This window comes from Homo sapiens, chromosome 4, assembly GCF_000001405.40.
Source record: "Homo sapiens chromosome 4, GRCh38.p14 Primary Assembly".
NCBI classification, from domain to species: domain Eukaryota; kingdom Metazoa; phylum Chordata; class Mammalia; order Primates; family Hominidae; genus Homo; species Homo sapiens.
The window spans coordinates 80,014,012-80,035,005 of NC_000004.12; the positions used below are offsets into that span (position 1 = coordinate 80,014,012).

General features: G+C 35.2%; 1 protein-coding gene across 4 annotated transcripts in view; it reads right to left on the bottom strand.

Moving 5' to 3' along the window:
* The window catches only part of ANTXR2 (ANTXR cell adhesion molecule 2), a 172,327-nt gene that overhangs the window by 112,866 nt on the left and 38,467 nt on the right, over positions 1-20,994 (bottom strand). For all 4 annotated transcript variants that reach the window (NM_001286780.2, NM_001286781.2, NM_058172.6 and 1 more), the window contains exons 9-11: positions 19,461-19,559; positions 17,612-17,681; positions 4,887-4,965 (exon numbers count right to left, since the gene is read on the bottom strand). In NM_001286780.2, coding sequence (NP_001273709.1) covers positions 4,887-4,965; positions 17,612-17,681; positions 19,461-19,559 — 248 coding nt within the window. The remainder of the gene's footprint in view (positions 1-4,886; positions 4,966-17,611; positions 17,682-19,460; positions 19,560-20,994) is intronic.

Sequence of the window (20,994 nt, forward strand, 5' to 3'; positions counted from 1 at the left end):
TCTCAGCCCTGGCTCACCTTGGCCTCTCCCAGGCATGTACTGCTGCCCTCTCTTCACCTTGGAATTCTATCTTCCTTTGTCTTCTTCACTCGGTGTCTGGTCTTCCCACGTCTTAAGCAGTTCTTTCTCTTATTTCTTCACTTACTTTATTCATCAAGACAGCCTTACCTATTTCTTCTGCTTGATTAAACTTTAAACTTCAGTCAAATTGGATTTCTTCTAACTGTGGGTCTTGGATCTCCCTTTTCTTTAAGAATCTACTTTTAAAAATTTGTGGCCGGGTGAGGTGGCTCACGCCTGTAATCCCAGCACTTTGGGAGACTGAGGCGGCCAAATCACAAGGTCAGGAGATTGAGACCATCCTGGCCAACGTGGTGAAACCCCGTCTCTACTAAAAATAAAAAATTAGCTGGGTGTGGCGGCACACACCTGTAATCCCAGCTACTTGGGAAGCTGAGGCATGAGAATTGCTTGAACCCGGGAAGCAGAGATTGCAGTGAGCCAAACTGGCGTCACTGCACTCCAGCCTACCAACAGAACAAGACTCAGTCTCAAAAAATATATATATATAAATAAATAAATAAAAACTTGTAATCACAAAATATTTCTCCGCCTTTTGAAAAGCATTTAAATCTCCTTTAACTCTCAGCAGTTTTACAGACCTTGGAGGACTGTCTTTCTCAAGGCCCTGGGAGCCATTCCTTTGAGATGTAATCATCAAGGGAGATAGTGCCCCTATCACACGGTCTCTGTAGAAGCGGAGAAACCTAACATCAGTGGTGCCTTGCTCCAAGTTTTAGCACTACCTCCTATTAGGAAAGTAGGAGAAAGTTTACTTTTCCTTTAGGTAAGGTCAATTAGCAGATACTGGTGGCCTATAATTCCCACCACCCTAGCTTTGAAAATTCTCCAACCTTTTGTTTCATCACAGGTAAATTCACTCTTCCCTCTTGCAACAGTCTTGACAAGGTCTTCTTTTCCTGTTTAATTTTGTCCAGTGCATTTTTGTCTTTGACTCTATGTATTCCTCCCCACTTCAAAATGACATTAACTCTAAATTGTCCCATTTTTCTTCCCCTTCCTACAACCTCAGCAAAAGCAAAACTTAAATTTTTACTTCCAGCCCTGATCACTCACGAGATGTGAAGCTATAGCTACAAGTACCTGCTTGACATTGCCAACCTCACTTACACAACATGTCTACAATGAAAATTCTTCTGATCTCCAGATTTACCTCTCGCTTTGGATGTTTCCAATGGCAGCATCATTCTTCCAGCCCATGAGATTCAATATTTTGGAATGAAACATTCCCCCATAACCACCAGTAAGTCACTTTATAATATGGATTTCTTCATTAATACAATTTATATGGCTATTTCTAGGACTATTTCTACCACCATCAGTCAATTTAGAAACTAAAGTTTTATGCCTATATTCTAGCATTTGTTTCCTAAAAGCTTTCTCTGTGCCTTTTCTTTTCCTGTCCTTTCTCTTACATGTCATTACTAATTTAATCTTCCCAAAATAGTATGTTTCACCATCACATGTGTGTCCAAAGCTCTTTAAAACCATATTATTATTTATTGGAGTCAGACCTTGTGATTTCTCAAGGCAATAAAACCTGAAAAAAAAAATCTGCTCACATAAACTTGCCAGCTAATAATTCTGCCAAGTAACAGCATACAAGGAAAAAGAGAAAAGAAGAGAAGAAGCAGGAGGAGGGAGAGGAATATGAGGAAGGAAAAGAAAGGACTGAAGGACTAGGGAGAAGGAAGGTGGGAGAGAAGAAAGAAGGAAGGATGGAATGAGGGAGGGAGGGAGGGAAGGAAGGAAGGAGAGGACAGGAAAGGAAAGGAAAGGAAAGGAAAGGAAAGGAAAGGAAAGGAAAGGAAAGGAAAGGAAAGGAAAGGAAAAAGGAAAGGAAAGGAAAGGAAAGGAAAGGAAAGGAAAGGAAAGGAAAGGAAAGGAAAGGAAAGGAAAGGAAAGGAAAGGAGGGAGAGGTCGGTCCTGACAAATGAAGTGTATTTCCTCAATCAAAGGATATTTTAAAATTAAAATAGGACAAAGAACAATTTTAAAATAAAAGAATTCTTTCAAGTTGAATAAATCTAATAATATGAAAAATATAATCCATTTTCTTTCCTTTTTTCATTTCAACACCGTAGAGTTTGGGAATCACAGCCTGTAGGATGAACTCTAAATTCAATTCGGTTTCTTAGGTTGTTGATAATCTGGTCTACATTTTCTATTTCCAAGAATTCCTTCCACTTATTTCTACTCCAGTCAAATGCATCTCCTCTCAATTTCGTCAACACATCCCCACCCTGTTTGCTCTTTCTCTATAATATGCTCCCCATCCCCTTTCTTTGCTGACATCCTAGTCTCCCTTCAAGGCCCTGTCTGTCTCAGTTCCTCCACAAGCATAAAACCTTTTTCTGGTACTCTTTCCCTTCTTGCTCTAAGCTCCTGGAAGCCACTATTTCCCAGTAAATATTATGTGAAATTTTGTTGCCTAATTTATTCCATCCATTTGTCAACAACTAACAGCTCCAAAGTTTGTACATCCAATCCAGACCTCTCTCAGAACTCCAGACTTGCATATTCAGGGGCCTGACATTTCCACTGCGATGTCCAATAGACATCCCTCATTCAACCTCACCACAACTGAACTTCTCTTTGCTCTGAAACTGCTGTGCCTGATGACAATTCATCCTTCTATTTGGCAAAACCACAGTTGCTTTTGCATCAACCTAATAGTTGCTCAGGCAAAAACACTTGGAGCTATTCTTAATTTCTTTCTTTATCTCACATCCCACACCTAATCTGTCTAGGCATCCCATAAACTTCCCCTGTAAAATATATTCTAATTCAACCCTTCTCACCATCTCCAATTTGATCACCCCAGTGGGGCTACCCTCCTCTGGGTGGGGAAGGATTCCTGCATTACTGCAATAGCCACAGAATTGGGCTTGATGTTTCCACGTTTGCTGCTACTCGCAAAGTCTGTTTTCATACAGCAGCCAGAGTGATCCTTTCAAAACAGTGAATCAAATCATGTCACCTTCCAAGGTCTTCCTGTTTCACTCAGAAGAAAAGCTCAGGTCCTGACAATAACTATACACCCTACAGGATCTGCCCTGCTCCTGCCACTCTCTCTTCCTTATCCAGAGGCTCCCACTCTCCCTGACTACTTCCATTCCAGCACACTGGCTGGTTGCTCTTCTTGAAACTTGCCAGAGACTTGTCACCTCAGGCTTTGCTCTAGCTGCTCCCTCTGTGTGGAGCACTATTCCCTCAGATGGTCTGCAGGCCTCACTCCCTTACCTTCAAGTCTTTTCTCAAAGCCTTCCTTCTTACGGAGAATCATCTTGACCCCTTCTTGACTGTTACAGCTTGCTCCTTTCCCCTTACCTCATCATTGACACATCAATGATCATTTTTCTGAAATCTCCCCACTCTTAAACCATCTTGAGTCATATTACCCTCACTCAGGAGCAAGAACTAGAAAGTCTTCCTTAAAGCACCAACCTATACATCCCACATGAGTCATTTAGCCTCAGCATCCTTGCATGTGAAAATCATGCATTGTTATAGGATAGGAACAAAGACCTGTTTTCCTGCTTGCATGGAAGAAAGGAAGAAAAAGACAGTTTGTAGGTGTAGAATAGGAAGAAGGATGAGGAAGGAATGCCATTTCAGTGAGCTAAACACTGAGAAACTACAAACCACAAATATTTGTAATTTCAACCACATCCTGAGGGACCAGAAAACCAGCAAACTGCAACATCCACAAAATCTACAAATTGCAACATGCGCTAGAAATGGGAGAAAAAAAACCCTCCCCAAAAAGCACAAATACAAAAACAAAAAACCTAGCTATTTTCAAAATAGAAGTAGCTGTTGGTAAAGACTTATCCAAGGAGTTAAAAAGTGACCCAAGGGTCCATATGATGTGCCTTTTACCTGAAGCATTGTCTTAAAATGAGAAATGCAACTACCTCTATACAGATAACATTGAATTGTTTTGTTTTGTTTTCTGTTGGAAGGGTATCTCTCGAATTAGTAGATCAAAATCAAAATATAAAACAATGAAACCGTGAGATGTGAGAAAATGTTTAGGTTTAGGATTTTGGTCTTTTGGAGGGCAGGAATTTTTCTTTTTTTGCTTTGATTTACATATTTTTTACAAAATATATTTAGAAATAATAACCATGTGGTTGGTCCTGTTTAGTGCTGCCCGTTTCCACGTGCAATAATATAATATTGAAACTTTCTATAAATCCACAAAATTAAATAAAAGGAAGAAAATGTCTACTGAATGGAGCTTATATTTCAAAATACTGCATTTAGGTAATGCAAATCAGTAATCTCAAAATATATATTCGATGTGGTTACAAATTAAGATAGTATCAAGCTGTCAAAGTCAACTTCCTCATTCAGAAAGCACCAATATTTTAAATGAACAAAATAAAAAAGTCACACATTAAAATGCAATAATTTGATTTCAAACCATGATAAATGTTTAGATACTGTAATCTAACCTTCCTAACAGAAAACATAATTTCTATATTTAATGTTTTAAGAAAAAAAGTGCTTCATTTGTAAATTATTATCTTACCTTATTTTGATTTCAAATATGCCTTTTAAATTCTATAAGTATGAAAATCAAATGCATACTACCTTAAAGTTCCTATAAAAGGGAGCTCAACATAAAAAAAAGCAATGCCACCCAAAACGAATTCTATACAAAATTTTTCCTTGTAATGGTCTCCAATGTTATTGTTTGCATCTCCTTTATTGTAGTATGCAACAACACCAAAGATCCATAGATTATTTCTGGATGGAATTGCTTTTAAAAGATAATCTTTGTGCAAACTTTTACTTACACATTCTGTGGCTGTGACAATTAATGATCCTGAAATGACAGATTTTCCTCCATTAAAGCTCACTGAAACATCAAGAGTTCTGAAAAAGAAAAGAAACAATAATTTTATATACATTTAAAACCAGAGGAGTAGGAGATTTTTATTTCCTTATGTAATTCAAAACCAGCCAGAAAACATACTTAAAGAGTAAGGGTCTCAAACTCCTGACCTCAGATGATCCACCCACCTCGGCCTCCCAAAGTCCTAGGATTACAGGCATGAGCCACCGTGCCCAGCATGGCCAACATAGTGAAACCCCATCTCTAGTGAAAATACAAAAATTAGCCAGGTGTGGTGGTGGGCCCCTGTAATCTCAGCTACTCAGGAGGCTGAGGCAGGAGAATTGCTGGAACCTGGGAGGCGGAGGTTGCAGTGAGCCAAGATCATGCCATTGCACTCCAGCCCGGGCCGACAACAGCGAGACTCAGTCTCAAAAAAAAGGAAAGAGTAAGAGTCACAGCTTTTGGTAAATTATGCCAGCTTTTTTCTTCCTTAGTTCTAGTCTTTACTTATTAGTCAGGCAAACTTATTAAGTGGACTAATTGTTTCTTTACAAAGTAGTAACAGAAATACAGGCATTAAGAAATTTCTAAATCCAGAAAAATGCCAAGGTTGTTTCAGGTTCACAAAAACCTACAAAGAAAGAAAAGCTTTAGATCCCATTTAGCCTATTTCTCTGTCTCTAGGTATTACTACTAAGAATATAAAACTGGAAGCAATAAACCAGTCAAAAATAAAATATAAAGAAAGTGAATATGAAAGACAGCAACAAAGAAAAGAAAGGGAGAAAGATTTATTTGCAGGTATTTGTTGCAGATGGTCCAAAGATATTAAAATATCCCGACAAAGGTACAAAGAAGAGATAATAATTTTTGTCCCTGGCTAAGAAATATTATAGTTAAAATATAGTTCTTATTTTGAAAATATGATTTCAAATTATAAAACAAGTAATAATCATTAAAATTTCATTAATTTAGATTGATTATTTGGGATTAGCCTAGAGTTAGTAATTTTTTATTATAAAAATAACTAAAACAAGATATCAAAAGGGAAAAAAATGACAAGAGGGTTTGTATGGAAAGAGCTCTTTTCCAAAATAGTTTACAAAGGATATTATCATATAATTGGTTTGCAAACAAATCAAAGCCATCCATCCACAGGGTAGGCATGGTGGCTCACGCCTATAGTCCCAGCCCTTTGGAAGGCTGAGGTGGGAGGACTGCATGAACCCAGGAGTTTGAGACCAGCCCCGGCAACACAGTGAGATGCCCATCTCTACAAAAAGTAAAAATAAAAATAATTAGCCGGGCATGGTGGCATGTGCCTATAGGTCCAACTATTCAGGAGGCTGTGGCAGGAGGATCGCTTGAGCCTGGGAGGTTGAGGCTGCAGTCATCTCTGATTGAGCCACTGCACTCCAGCTTCAGCAACACAGTGAGACTCTGTCAAAAAAAAAAGCAAAAACAAAAACAAAAAACAAACTCCCAGAAACAATCTCAAGCTGTTGACAGAAAGGGGAGATAAGAAATATTATTCAGTTCTTACTATTGCCAGATGCTATCCTAGGCATTTTATGGGCATTATCTATTTCAACCCTTCACAATAGCCCTTGAAGTAAATAGTAGTTTCACAGTTTTACAGATGGGGGGCAGGAGGCCCAGAAATGTTAATTACTTTGCCCAAAGTAATACAGCTAGGATTCTAACTTTGAACTCTTTCCATCATATCAGAGAGGCTTGATTAAATGATGAAATCAAAGTCCTTAATGTGTTTTTTTTCTCAATGTGCTATTTGGTTTGGATTCATACAAGAAAGCTACTGGGAAGGATATTCCTGGCAAAGTTCAAGCTAAATTCAATCAAAATATAGAAATACTTCTATTAAAATATTTCTGTGTAAAGTATTTACTTCAAAGCATCTTGTTTAAAAAGATGGTTTAGCTAGGCTGGGCGCAGTGGCTCACGCCTGTAATCCCAGCACTTTGGGTAGATCACGAGGTCAGGAGATTGAGACCATCCTGGCTAACACGGTGAAACCCCGTCTCTACTAAAAATACAAAAAAATTAGCCGGGCATGGTGGCACGTGCCTGTAATCCCAGCTACTTGGGAGGCTGAGGCTGGAGAATCACTTGAACCCGGGAGGCAGAGGTTGCAGTGAGCCGAGATCACACCACTGCACCCCCAGCCTGGGCGACAGAGCGAGACTCCATCTCAAAAAAAAAAAAAAAAAAAAAAAGATGGTTTAGCTAAATCCAGAAGAGAATAAGAATTCCGGATGTTTACATCTAATTAACTATACTTCTGAACTATTCCAACACAGAAGGCCAAGTGGCGTATTAAGAAAGAAAACTTAAACCTAATTGCTCATTCTGAAGAAATGGGTGCCTTGTTTTGTTTTTTTAATGACTAAGCATAATCAAATAAAAAATTGTCTTCCCTAGTTCTTAATTCCTCTACTTTAAAGAATGTGGCCTGAATCATCTGACATGTTGGCATGGTTTTATTTTTTGGAAAGATAATTTTCATTCATAATAATATGTGATTCTTGCAGGTAATCTTACTGATTCAACTTTAAGGGATCAGTAGACATTGACTGAAGTTGTTTATAATCTGACAGTTAAAATTCACCAGAAACGAACAAGTTCTCTAATTAATGAAGGAAACATTCAAACTTTTAATGCTTAAAAAAATGAAATGAGAACAGAAGATGTCATTTTAAAACAAAGTTTACTCTTTCCTATGGTAGAAATGCATGCTGATATGATCTTGTAACCGACAAAAATAACTGCATTCTCCGAAAATCTCATTCTAGTATAATGTGGCTGGTGTAAAAAAAAAACAAAAACTGAGTTAATTCTCCGCAGATATAGAAATCCACTTGATGATATATGATGTATGGAACTGAAACAAGAATATCTTCCTCCTTTTGAGAGTAGTAGTAGCAGCGTGATCAAAATGTAACCATAAACACCACTCATAATTACAGGCAATTGTTGATTTCTTACTAAGAACCAGACACATTAATTCATCTTCTCATTTAATTCTCACAACAACCTACTGAGGTCAGCACTAGCATCATCTCCATTTTGCCCATGAAGAAACAAGCTTATAAAGGTAACTTGTCCAAATATTGGACTTCACTGACTCTGTACTCAAAATGCTTTCACTTCTACAACATACTACTTTAATCCTCCACATGTATTTTAGCATCTTATATTTAAATTTCTCTCATTAGTATGAGTTTCATTTGAATCTTCTAGCTTTTTACTACATTCACATATTTCTCATGGTTAACTAGAATGGCATTTACTATATGCTAAAGCAATATATTTACTTGTGAATATATATATTTATGAATATGTGTGTATAGATATATGTATTCTGTGAAAATTTTTCAGAAAAGTTGCAAATATGAAAAACACAGTTACATCTGCTTTTAAACTTTGCTGCTTCTTTAGAAAAACATTTTTGAAATTATTGGTATGGTACTGGCACCATCATTAAGCTAGAGCCTTTGCCCAAAGCTATGCTACTCCTTTTCTGGCATAGGTTGAGAAAACCGCCCACTGTAATGCAAACCAAATTCGGTAAGCTTTCCTTGCCTCAAGAGTCAACTATACATATTTAGTGTTTTCTGTCATATTTTATGTCATTTCTGTTAGCATCTATGGATTGTTATTCCTACTCCTACATAACTTCTACTTCTAGTTAGTATGTTTCTGACAGTGGAAGCCATACGCTCAGTAACAGAGGCTTTCTTATGGGCAAAAATGTATTAAAACAACATTGTGTTTACTTAGTTGCAAACATATATGGGAAGCAAGAGAGCAGTTCATTTTTATTTGCCCCAAGGATCTAATAATATTGAAAAAGGGCATTTGGGCGAAACTGGAGTCCTGAGTTTGAACCCTCATCACTCCATTTTTAATCTTCCATTTCTCAATCTGTAAAATGGGGATAACTGTACCTATTTCAAAGTTGTTTTAAGGAACAGAGCTTGGTAAAATAATATACATAAAATATACAACACAATACCTGGGACACAACAGGTACTCCATAAATTACCGTTAACACCTGAATATTTGTCTAATGGATTATTTAGAATATCAAGGTACTTTTTAATAAACCTTTTAGATCCAAGCTAAGAAGAAATGTATATAGAAGCAATAAAATCATTATGTAATACCTTTTGTTTAATTTAATTAATTTCTATTCTGCTCACTGCCATATAAAAATATTGTAAGCTAAATTGTTCAAAAAATGCCTACTATATAATGTCAGGCAGTTTCATGTAAAAAATTTTTTCAATGCCATATTCTTCCTGTTATAAAACATGACCTTGATTAAATCCAACATTATAGCTATGTTGAGCTCTGTGCTTAAACCTCAGGCCTAAAATCACACTCCAAATTGGTTTAGGAATATCTGCCAATAAAATCACTCAATCAGTCACTTATTTTATTACTAGTTAATTAAATGAGTATTTATTAATTGATTGTAGTAGCAATGATAATTGGGCTGTACTTGGTAAAATGGCTGCAGTAACAAATAATACAAATTACAATGTAAATAAAAGGAAGCCCCGTAAACAATTACAAAAGAATGCGATATTAAATAGGTTTAGGCACAGGGGTTCTAGAGGGCTGTGTGGGAGATTCAACAGACTTGGCCTTGGCATAGAGGCATTAGCAAAGTTTTCCTGCAGGAAGTCGACTACAGGATGAAGCTTAAAGAATGATCAGAAGTTAGGAAATGAGATTAGAAAGGAGTCCATGCAGATGGAGCACTCCGACAGGGTGGAAGGCAAGAAAGGGACAGGGACAGAACAGTCAAGGCAGTAAAAGTGATTCAGTACTCCAGCAACAAAAGAGGGTGAGAGTAAGAATGAAATGGCTCCAGGTTGAAAAGGGGAGCAGAGAAAAGATCATTGAGTCCCTGGATGCCATCTTTAGACATCTGGAATTCGTCTTAAGAGTTTTAAGTTTGATAGAAATATAGTTAGAAATGTGTTTTACAAATATCATTCTTGTTACAGTGTAAGGCAGGGGTCTGAAGAATAAATTTCAAAAGTAGAAAGACCAGTTAAGAAAGTCTCAGTGTACTTGAAATAAGTACCAAAGTAGAATTGAACTAAAATAGTGGCAATGAGGTTAGTGTGAAAACAAAAACTGAGACATATTAGGAGTTAGAATAAAAAGGACATGGACATTTATTGGATGTAGGAGGTGAGGAAGAAGAAAAAAGGATGACCTCAAAGTTTCTGTCTTACACAAGTAGGTGGGCAGTCTTGCATAGGGAACACAGAAGGAGCAAGTTTGAACAGAAGGATGTGAGTTTAATTTGGGACCTCCAAGTTTAAGGTGCCTGTAGAAAATCCAAGTGACTTTGTAGACATTTGGATAGGAGGCATTTGGACAGCAGACTTAAAGCTAGTAAAAAGATCTTGCCAGGAAATTTGGAGCTCATCAGGAAGAAAAAGGGAGCCATAGAAAGGGTGAGTTTATAAGTCAAGTATCCTCCAACCATGATAAAAACTGAGGGGCACTGGACACTGTGGCTCATGCCTGTAATCCCAACACTTTGGGAGGCCAAGGCGGGTGGTTGGCTTGAGCCCAGGAGTTTGAGACCAGCCTGGGAAACATGGTGAAACCCTGTCTATACAAAATGTACAGAAAATTAGCAGGGTGTGGTGGTACATGCCTGTAGCCCCAGCTACTCAGGAGGCTGAAGTAGGAGGATCACCTGAGCCAGAAAGGCCAAAAGTACAGTGAGTCAGATCATGCCACTTCACTCCAGCCTGGGTGACAGTGAGACCCCACCTCAAAAAGAAAAAACTGACAGTTAAGAGACTGTAAAAACAAAAGTAGTCTAAAGGGATATCTGAGGAGAAAGGGGAGAAACAGCTAGGGTGAGAATATGAAGTCACAAAAGACAAGGGAAAACCTTCTGAGACAAGAGTGGCACCTTGTGCAGATAATACAGGGAGGTAAGGGAAGATAATGCTGGGAAATGGCAACACTTTCAACTTAATTTTCTATAAATTGGTTCTACACTGTTTAATATTTCTTAACAAATATCTTAATCCATGCTTTGCTCCATCATTAAAATATGTTTTTTCAAAGTAGAAGGATAGAAGAAAGCTTAACAACTTAATGTAACAAAAAGATTGATTGAAGTGTACTTTCATGTCAACTGACAATTAATAGTAATAAAATTAAATTCAAACATAGTAAAGTCATTCCACATGAGAAATTATTAAATAGTACTATGATACACAATTTAGTAAATAAAACTCACTAAGTCCTAATAGTCACATACTTCTATTTAATGTCTAAAGATGCATGACTCTTCCAAAACAGGAGAATGGCTCAGTGCCATATGTCATAGCTATTCTGATCTAAGAAATGTTATACTCCATGAATTATGATTGACATTTCAATCCACAGTAACATATTTGCAAAGTATTCATTTGCTTCTGACTTTATATATATCCAATAAAAGATTGTCATTTTATGATCCATTAAAAAGGATGAAAAAATTAAATAAAATTGTGAAAGACATTTGCTGGAAGTAATAAATAATTTACCTTCAATTTGCACATACTGAAAATTAAACTGGCAGCTACTCAAAAAGTTATTACAATTATGGTGACTTAAGATATTTTGAAATCAAGTGATACTATTTAATGTTCTGCAGTGCTTTTTAAAAGATAGTTTTATGAATGATAAAGATTTTAAGTTGGAAGATAAGATTCCATATTCATGAATAGTTTAAAGGTACCACTTCTAGTAATTAGTTTATATGTAAATTAATGTTTTGACTAAGGATACTTTCTTAAAAGTGGCTAAAAGATTTTTGAATTAAATGACTTATTTTTAGCATATCTCAATATGTGTAATAGATAAAACAAAAATTGCAGTTAGCAAGATGTCTACATTTCAGAAGGAAAAAGAGCTATATTCAGAGATTTACTGGACATCACAGGAAAGCTGTATTATAATTGTTCTGAGTATTGCACTAAAAATAAGCACTTTCCATTTGCTGTGTGTTTTTTAATAACATTCTAAAAAGACACTTAAAAAACAATCACCAAGTCAATTTAGTGCCTAAATCAATCAAATTGAGTGCCTTTCATCCAAAACTTTAAAGAGTCTTAGTGATATGGTTTTGCTGTGTGTCTCCACCCAAATCTCATTCTTGAATTGTAATCCCCCCGTGTAAAGGGAGGATCCTGATAAGAGGTGAATGGGTTATGGGGATGGTTTCCCCCATCCTGTTCTCATGATGGTGAGTGAATCTCACGAGATCTGATGGTTTTAAAAGTGGCCATTTTTCCTGGGCTTGCACTTCTCTCTCCTGCCACCATGTGAAGGTCTTTGCTCCCCCTTAGCCTTCTGCCATGACTAAGTTTCCTGAGGCTTCCCCAGTCATGTAAAACTGTGAGTCAATTAAACTTCTTTCCTTGATAAATTACCCAGTCTCGGCAGTTCTTTATAGCAGTGTGAGAACGGACTAATACATTTAGTAATAATGAAAAGCTTTGATAATATAAAATTTAGAAGCAGATATATAAGAGGATTTAAGTACCTATTTCAAGAATATTCTCTACATCCTCATATAGGTGTCCATCTTTAAATACTTTTCATTGTCCAAATAATTATCTACTAAATAATTTAGTAGAATTATCTACTAAATAATTCTAAATTTTAGAAAGTATTTCCTTATATTGATCTGAAATGTGCTTCCCCTTAACTTCACCCTTTTTCTCCTATAGCAATAAAGAACAATTCAAATCTGTCTGTCATGTGACAGATCTTCCAATGTTTGGAGAGTTAATGCATCACATCTGAATAGTATTTTTTTCAGTATTTTAAATTGTATCCTATTTAACATTCCCATACATGGTGACATCTTATTAGCCACCCCTCCAGGTGTTCATGTGTTAAAAGACATTGCCAGAACCGTATATAATACTTAGGATGAAGAGGCAATGCAGATGAGGTGAACTTATCACATTGATAGATATAATTTGAAAACAGTGCACCATGTGAAGGAAAAGAGAAATGTTCCACCAAGGAAGTGTGGGGTAGAGAAACAGAGAAAGCCCTTAGCTTTAACCCATATCATCATGATTCTAATGTTCATATTCAAATAAAGACATAACTAATGTCTTAATATCCATGATTTTTCCAAAAAATAAAATCTCATTCCTCACAAGAAGCAAAAGGAATAATGTTGTGGTTGTATCACCTGCTACTAACATAAGAGAATTAGGGATTCTATAGACATACACACACATACAGATAGAAGTATACTTTTGGAAAGAACAGAAACTGTAGTAAAGGCAGAATTTATCTAATCAAGAAAGAGAAATAGAATTAATCAATTTTATTCCAGGAAAAATAGATTAGGCTTAATACTGAAAAAAAAAGTTGAAGAAAATAAAAAGATTCTATTATGAAGCCAGGCTCTAACCTCAATTCTGCCACACTGTTCATCTCAATGATCCTTCAGTTTTCCTTGAAATTTTCCACAGACAGTGACGTCCCACCACTTCTTTCTCAAAACACTCTGTCAAGTGTCTTCCCACACTGCCTTTTAAGAGAACTAATACTATCAGTTTCATCTGATTTAGATATTTATTTCATATTTGCCAGAAGATTCTGGCCAATGTTTTTGAAAGCACATTTAACTATACCATATGCCTCCTTAAATCATCTCTATCAAAAAAACTGTAGGATAAGACTCCGGTTCATTCTGTTCTGTTTTTCTTTCTTCACAATGTGTTTATGTATATTTACCCAATTTGCTCTGTTCTTCTTGCCAAATTACAGGTTTGAGATCTCAACTATTGCAGAACAGCTGTGCTATTGTTGATGTCTCACAAAACAAGGGTCATAGAATAAGCCCACGTTGCAAATACTTGTAATACTTGCACATTAAACTGTGAGGCTAGTGCCCTGGATTAGGGAACATCCAAAGAACATCAGAGAATGCATCCTATTCAAACTTAAAGAAGACAATTTGGCACAAAGGAACCACTTTTAGAAATAAATTTCTAAATAATAGGCAGATTTTTCTTGGTAAAACAGTTTGTTTAATCATACACCATTTTAAAAGTAAACCGTGTTCATCCAAAAAAATAGAAAACAACCTCACTACTATGACCATTCTTTCTGTTTAAATAATAAGAGTTTGTTCATCTTAGCCTAAAAATCTATATCAAATAAAGAAATTTAATAAATACAGATCTCTGTATCAGACAGATCTATCAAAAAAAGTTATTGAAAGACCCATCTGAACAATGCTCAAAATGATATACCTGGACAGGATTTGCCCAGATAACTTTAACTTTCCTTTACTCCATAACATCAAATTCCAAATGACGACCTATGTCCTAGCTACTCGGCTACATTCTTACTCCCCCATCTCCCACATGCTCTTTTAAACCAAAATCCACAGGCCTTAAGTTTTTAAAAGAATAATCCTCAAACAAAGTGAAATTCATGAAATAACATAAAGATAAGAAAAGAACGGATAGAGCAGGCTAATGAGATGAGGCACATGCCCATGGATGCAGCTCTGAGACTGTGCATCTGGCTTTGAGGCTCTCTGTCTAGGGTTACTTCACCAGCATGTTGTTAATTATTTAAGTGAGAGAATGAGGGGAACTATCACCACATCTGTCACCCTCACACAGGAAAAACCTTCATTCATTGTTGGGCCAGATGTGTTTATCTGAAACATAGACTAACTAGCTACTTAATGGGTTTGAATCCTTAGCCAAAAGCTAATTAGGCAAACATATTAAGCATCAGTCACCTTACAAGGCTAAACTGTTTCAATTGTGTTGATTTCAATCCAATCTCATAAGAGAGCTCATCACCTACAAAAGTGTCTGAAGAAAATTCAAGGCACAGGAAAGGTCCAAATTACTTGCAACATACTAAGTAAAATAAATAATGATGTCCCCAAATACCCAGTACATTAACAAATAAAATCTAAAGCTTTGCTTCAATGGTATCATGTACCTGATCCAGGAAAGGAAGACAAAAGCAATTCTTTTAGACACATCTCTGTCCCAGAACATTCTCAGTTTGCTTGTAGGTGAAATATTAATGTCAAAATCTAAATGAATGATGATTTCTCATGTCTGATATTTATTATGCTATGTGTGATTAAAAAATGTATCTCCTGGGTATTTAACCTATCTACAAATAATTAAAGTGTATCACTAGCCCCGATGGTATTCTCTTCTAAAGAAGACTGTGCCCAAAGGCAAATTCTAGAGAAAACAAAATCAGTGCCTGGGATAAAACAGGCATAATGCATTTTATAACTACTTCAGAGAAGAAAGTAAATTACTTTCTTTAACTAGTCACTATTATTTGAAAGCCAAGATTTTTTTTTTCTGCTTTAAATAGTATGGCCCCCCAAAATAAAATTCTGACCATTTTCCTCTATCCTGGTACAAGTACCTGATCCCACCAATCAAATGACCTCTTTCAGATCGTTATGTTAACTGGTAAACAAAAATATTTAAGAAAAATTCATTCATCCTTTTATCCACCAAACATTTAGTAAATCTACTATGAGTCAGACATTGTGTTAAGTGCTAGTAATACAACAAGAAACAAGACAAAACGTGTCCTAGCAGGAAGTAGAAACATAATAACAGACAAACAATTGGCTTTGGAGAAAAAATAAAACATGAAAAAGGTATACAGGTTACAGACTCAAAGAGGAAGATTGCATGATTAAATAGGGTAAGTTAGGATTTGTTTTGTTTTACTTAGACTAAGTTCACATACAGTTCTACATCAGGGGAAGAGCAATCCAAGCAGAGGCAACAAGAAGTATAAAAGTGCAGGTGCAGGAGTGTGCAGGTGTGGTCAAGAACAGCAAAGAGGCCAGTGTGACCATAACTGAGTAGAAAGAGCAAATAGAAGATGAAGTCTGAGAGGGAATGAGAGGCCAGACCCTGTAGAACCTGGTACAGTATTACACTAATTAGACTTTACTCTGAGTGGGGTAAAGAACTCATCACAGAGAATCTTAAGTGAAGAGATGACATAAAATAATCTGTTTTAACAAGATCACTCTTGTGAAGGATGGAAACAGAAAGACCAGTTGAGAGACTAATAATCCAAGCAAGAGATGGCAGTAACTTGGTCTAGAATGGTAGCAGTATAGGTAGAAAGCAGAGATTGGATTTTGGATAAATTTTGAAATTAGAGCTAAGATTTGTTGATAGACTGGGTCTAAGAGAGAGAAAGAAATCAATAATGACTCAAAAGATTTTTACCTGAACAACAAAAATGATGGAGCTGCCAATAACTAAAATGGAAAATACAGTTTGGGAGATAGATTGGGGGAATATTCAGGAGGACCAACCTGGAATTACAGATTCACTAAAACAAGACTAAACTTTAAGTCAATAGATGTATCATGGCTAATACAGACACGATTATTCAGAAAGCCTTGAGTCCTACGGTGTGCTTGGGGTTAAGATGGCTCCACAAGAAACTGACTTGCCTCAAATTCCAATGCCAATTTAATTTAGCCACAGGCATGTTGTCAATAACATAGATTATTACATGATACAGAAAACGAATAATACTCTTAGTTTTGTAAGCCATCTTGTGCAGCTTCTTTGAATCTATTTAAAACAGAAAGCTGATACTGCTCCAATTTACTTGCATGACCAAAAGTGATGTGCGATAGATATCTTGAATATTTAAGTATCCACAAAAGATAAATGTTCAAGTCAGCTTAAAAATGCTAGAATGATTTTCTTAGTTTCATAGAGGAAAATATCATTTTCAGTCTCTAAATACTAATCCAGATTTTGGATTGTGGCCTTGTATATGTAATTTTTCCCTGCTTTCAGTATCAGATCTATATAAAGAGATCCTAGAAAACTGTATCCTATTAACTATCTTAAACATGCTCTACTGTTGGGCTAGAGAATATCTGAACTATTTGTAATCATTTGCTTCATCATAGAACTGAAAAAAATCACAAATGGGAACACTAAATTATCAGTAGAATTACTTGTGTATAAACAATTCAAATAAGACTCCTTCATCCAAACTAAATTTATTTTTCTTTTTAGCAGATATCGTGGTTTTTTGGCCACACAAAAGAAGATGAAAAGATAGACCTTAACAGAAATGGAACACAAAGCACAAGTTAATACAAATGTACAAGTATTTCCTAGTGCAAGGTGTGCCTTTTTTTAGCCATGTTCTTGAGGCACTTTAATCGCAATATTTATTAAATACTATAGTAATTATTGAAAATCTCACTTTTGAACTGGGTGTGTGCATGCACACACATGTGTGTGCGTGTGCATGTGTGTGTGTTTAAAATAATGTTTATGGCTCTGATTATTTATAGATTCTAATAATAGTTCTCAAACCCATCCAGATAAATATTCATAGAGCCTTTTAATCAGTATTGAAGAAACTAGCTAAAACACTTTTTAGCATTTTCAACCTACTAAGAGTATAGCTGAAGTACTAACTTGCTTGCCTAGTACTAAGTTAAGTGGCTTGCCCAAGGCTTACTTTTTAATGCTCTGTATATCAAAAAAAGATAGAATAAAATGACCAATGTATATGTCACCATTTTCTAATAATTTTTTACTAAAAATGTTATAAAATTGTTTTAAATTAAGTACTTACTCTCCAGCTTTATTCAGGATAGGTGCAGGACAAAGCATAGAATTAAGCTGTACACTTACTGGTTTTACACCTAGAAAATAAAATGCCACTGAATTAGTAAAGGGTTTTATGCATCTCACACAGTTTCATTAATAATATGAACAGCATGCTTCAATCAGAGTTCAAATGTGGAATACTAGATATATTAACATAAAAAAACTAAAGAAAGAGAAGTGAAAGGGAATGAAAAATGGAAAGAGATTATATGCTCCATTGACATATAGTGTTGGTAAATCATAAGTTAGGATTATTTTGACTTAGACTAAGTTCACATACCATTCTAGATACTATAAAATATATTTTCTCTTAAATTTTTTAAATATCTCAGATTTTTAAAAACAAATGCTCCGTATTATTTTAAAAGCACACTTTAGAAAAGATGAAGGAAGGTGAAAGTTAGATGTCCAAAGGAAAATGAACTTATTTCACAAGTTTAATAAAACATTTGTCTACAATAAATAAATGCATTTTATGAAGTCACATACTTAAATCGCCCTTGTAACTTTAATAAAATATGAAAAAAATGATTTAGACTAAAATATGCAGAAAAGTTACTTAGTCAAACTGATCATTCTAGAATCTAAAAGAGGAAAATACCAATTTCACTTATTTGAGGATTTACTTTAATAAACCTAATCTTATGTAGCTAAACATGAAATACGTTTATTTTATAATGAACTCAAATATGTAATCAAAAGGAGCTAGGTGAAGCTAATGCTTAGATACAAATGACTACTGAATAAAAATAAAATTATCTTGTCCTACTCAATTGTGGAACCTACTATGAAGAGAGTTTGTAAATTTTTGCCTTACTAAAATTGTGATCTTAATAGAAAAGAGAGGAATTAATTATGACATTTAGCATGCTAAGATCCTTACCATTTTAATTCAATAAACACATATTGAATAGGTACTGTGTGTATGGCCAAAGCTGTGTTAATTGGAGTGTTTATACTCAGATAAACAGCAAAATGGCAGATGAATCTAAAAAAATAACTCTACCAGAGTTTACAAAGTTATAAAATCTGCTTTACAATATAAATTTTGAAGGGCAAATAATAATTAATAAGGAAAAACATTTATATAGATACTCAAGATGCTCAGAAAACTAAGGTCTATTTAAGAGGGAGGGTTTTTTCAGAATGAAAACAAAAACGTACTCTTGGCTTTTTTAAAAGTCAAAGGTAGGGAAAATTAAAACTCAATTCAATAAATACGAAAATTATCAACCAAAACTATGCTGGGTGAGAATTTGAGATGCAAAAATCTATAAGGCAAAAAAAGACTATCTTCAATAAATTAACAAATTATTGGGAAATTAGATAAAGAAAACAAGTGACAAAAAAAAAGAAAGAAAAAAAGGAACAAGTAGGAGAGAAGCTGAAGATAATTAGATTTTAAGGCAGGTGTGACAAGAAAGAAGCCTGAGGAAAGAAGCAATTAAATCATGTGTTTGATGTAGTAGGTACAGAGTACAGTCAGGAAAAGTGGGTTCAAATATCAGCTCTGTCCATTATTAGCTGTGTAACCACATGCAAGTAATTTCATTCTTTTAGCCACAAACCATCATCTGTTCAATGAGGGAAGTTAGGACAGGGTCCAGCATTTATTAAGTTATAAACAAATGTTGCCATTATTAAATAACTATTAAATAATTATCACTACTATTTGTATTATCATTCAGACTTCATTTCTTTCTTCTTAGATTAAAAAATATGTCAGTTAGTTTTCGTTGGAGAAAAAAAGAAAACATTTGATGCTGATGTGCTTTGCAGAGATTAAGACAACACTGAGATTACTGGGGACCTACTCGTTGTATATGTTTCATTTACAGTGTAAGTGCAGAGAACACTGCCATTCCGACTGCCCAGCATGAATCCTCTTCCACTTAAGACAATCTGAAATTCCTCTAGAAGTAAAAGGAAAAATAAACATTTAATCACTGCTTTACCAAAAAAATAAAAAACACAAGCTGAAATGAAAGTATTAAGGTGCAAAGAATAATTTTTTTCATACTATTCAGTTAACTAATAGCAATGAAGACATAGCTCTATATTTCCAACTGTGCTGGCTTTCCCAGACCCTCTAGGTAAATGTAGTGAAGATACCATTCACTGCCACATGGGGATGCATTATTTTATTTTCTAAACAAAGTGATTCCCAGTAGTGACCAAGGTATAGAACAGAAGCATTAACAGTCATTCCCAGACAGATACTATACAAACCTCCTCAACTTCTATCCTTAGGAAAATACCAGGGGGAAAAAACTTTGTTTTTCCCTACTCTCAGGTATTAAAGTTTGGGAATGTAAATAAAACTAATTATGTACGTTTTTTAGTTCTTCGAAAAGTCGTATGTAGTACTTTCTTTAATCTATGCCTGTTCCATACAGAATTCTTCTTTAACCACTTCTTCACCTTACTAATCCTGATTCATTTTCTATTTCAAACCTATAAATAATCAAAAGATCACGTATTTTGAATTACTAATAATCGATGGCCAGTCACAAAAGTTGATTTAACTTATTGTACCATTATTTATAGTAGAAGCAAGCACTAAAACTTGTTAGAGAGTGAGAGAATAGGCTGGAATGAAAGTTAACTGATCAAATATCTTGACAGACAATGCATGTTTACTGCTAAGCTGCAAGATAGTATACTAACTATTTTAATAGTGATTAACGCTTATTTAAAAGGTAAATTGAAGCACAAATAAAATTTTAAATAGTTTATTTGAGCAGAAGATTCTTGAATTAGACAGATCCAAATCAGAAGAGGTTTGGCAGCTTTACCAAGGGAATACAAGGGGGAGGCTTTTATAGAACCAACGTGGAAGTAAACCAAAGAAAGTATTTGACGGGTTATAGTTACACAGTTGCCTTGTTTGGTCTATCCTGTGGAAAGTCCCTAGTTATATAAGTTTGTTGGTTGTTTTTGATTGGTTGCACTTAAATTCTATTTTTCTTAATGTAGGCATTGACAATAAATAGTTCAAATTAAATTCCAATTATATTTGTAAATCAAATAAGGTTAAGGCTACTTACGAGGCCTAAGTGTTTTTGCCTGCTTAAGGCTTCTTCAGGCCTGTTCTCTATTTTAATTTAACATTACCAGTCCTCTAAAACTTCTCATATCTAACATAATACAAGTATAATATAGTCATTAACTATGCAAGAAACTACTGCCAACCCACTTTTCATTTACTATGTTATGAAAGGAATTTCACTTGCAAGTTAAAATAAAGTGCAGGTAAAATGTGATTCGGTAAGAGTATGGGCATTCAAGTCAGACAGGAAAGGGTCAAACAGGGTAATTACTAGTAGCAAGTACTGAACCTGTCTCTGC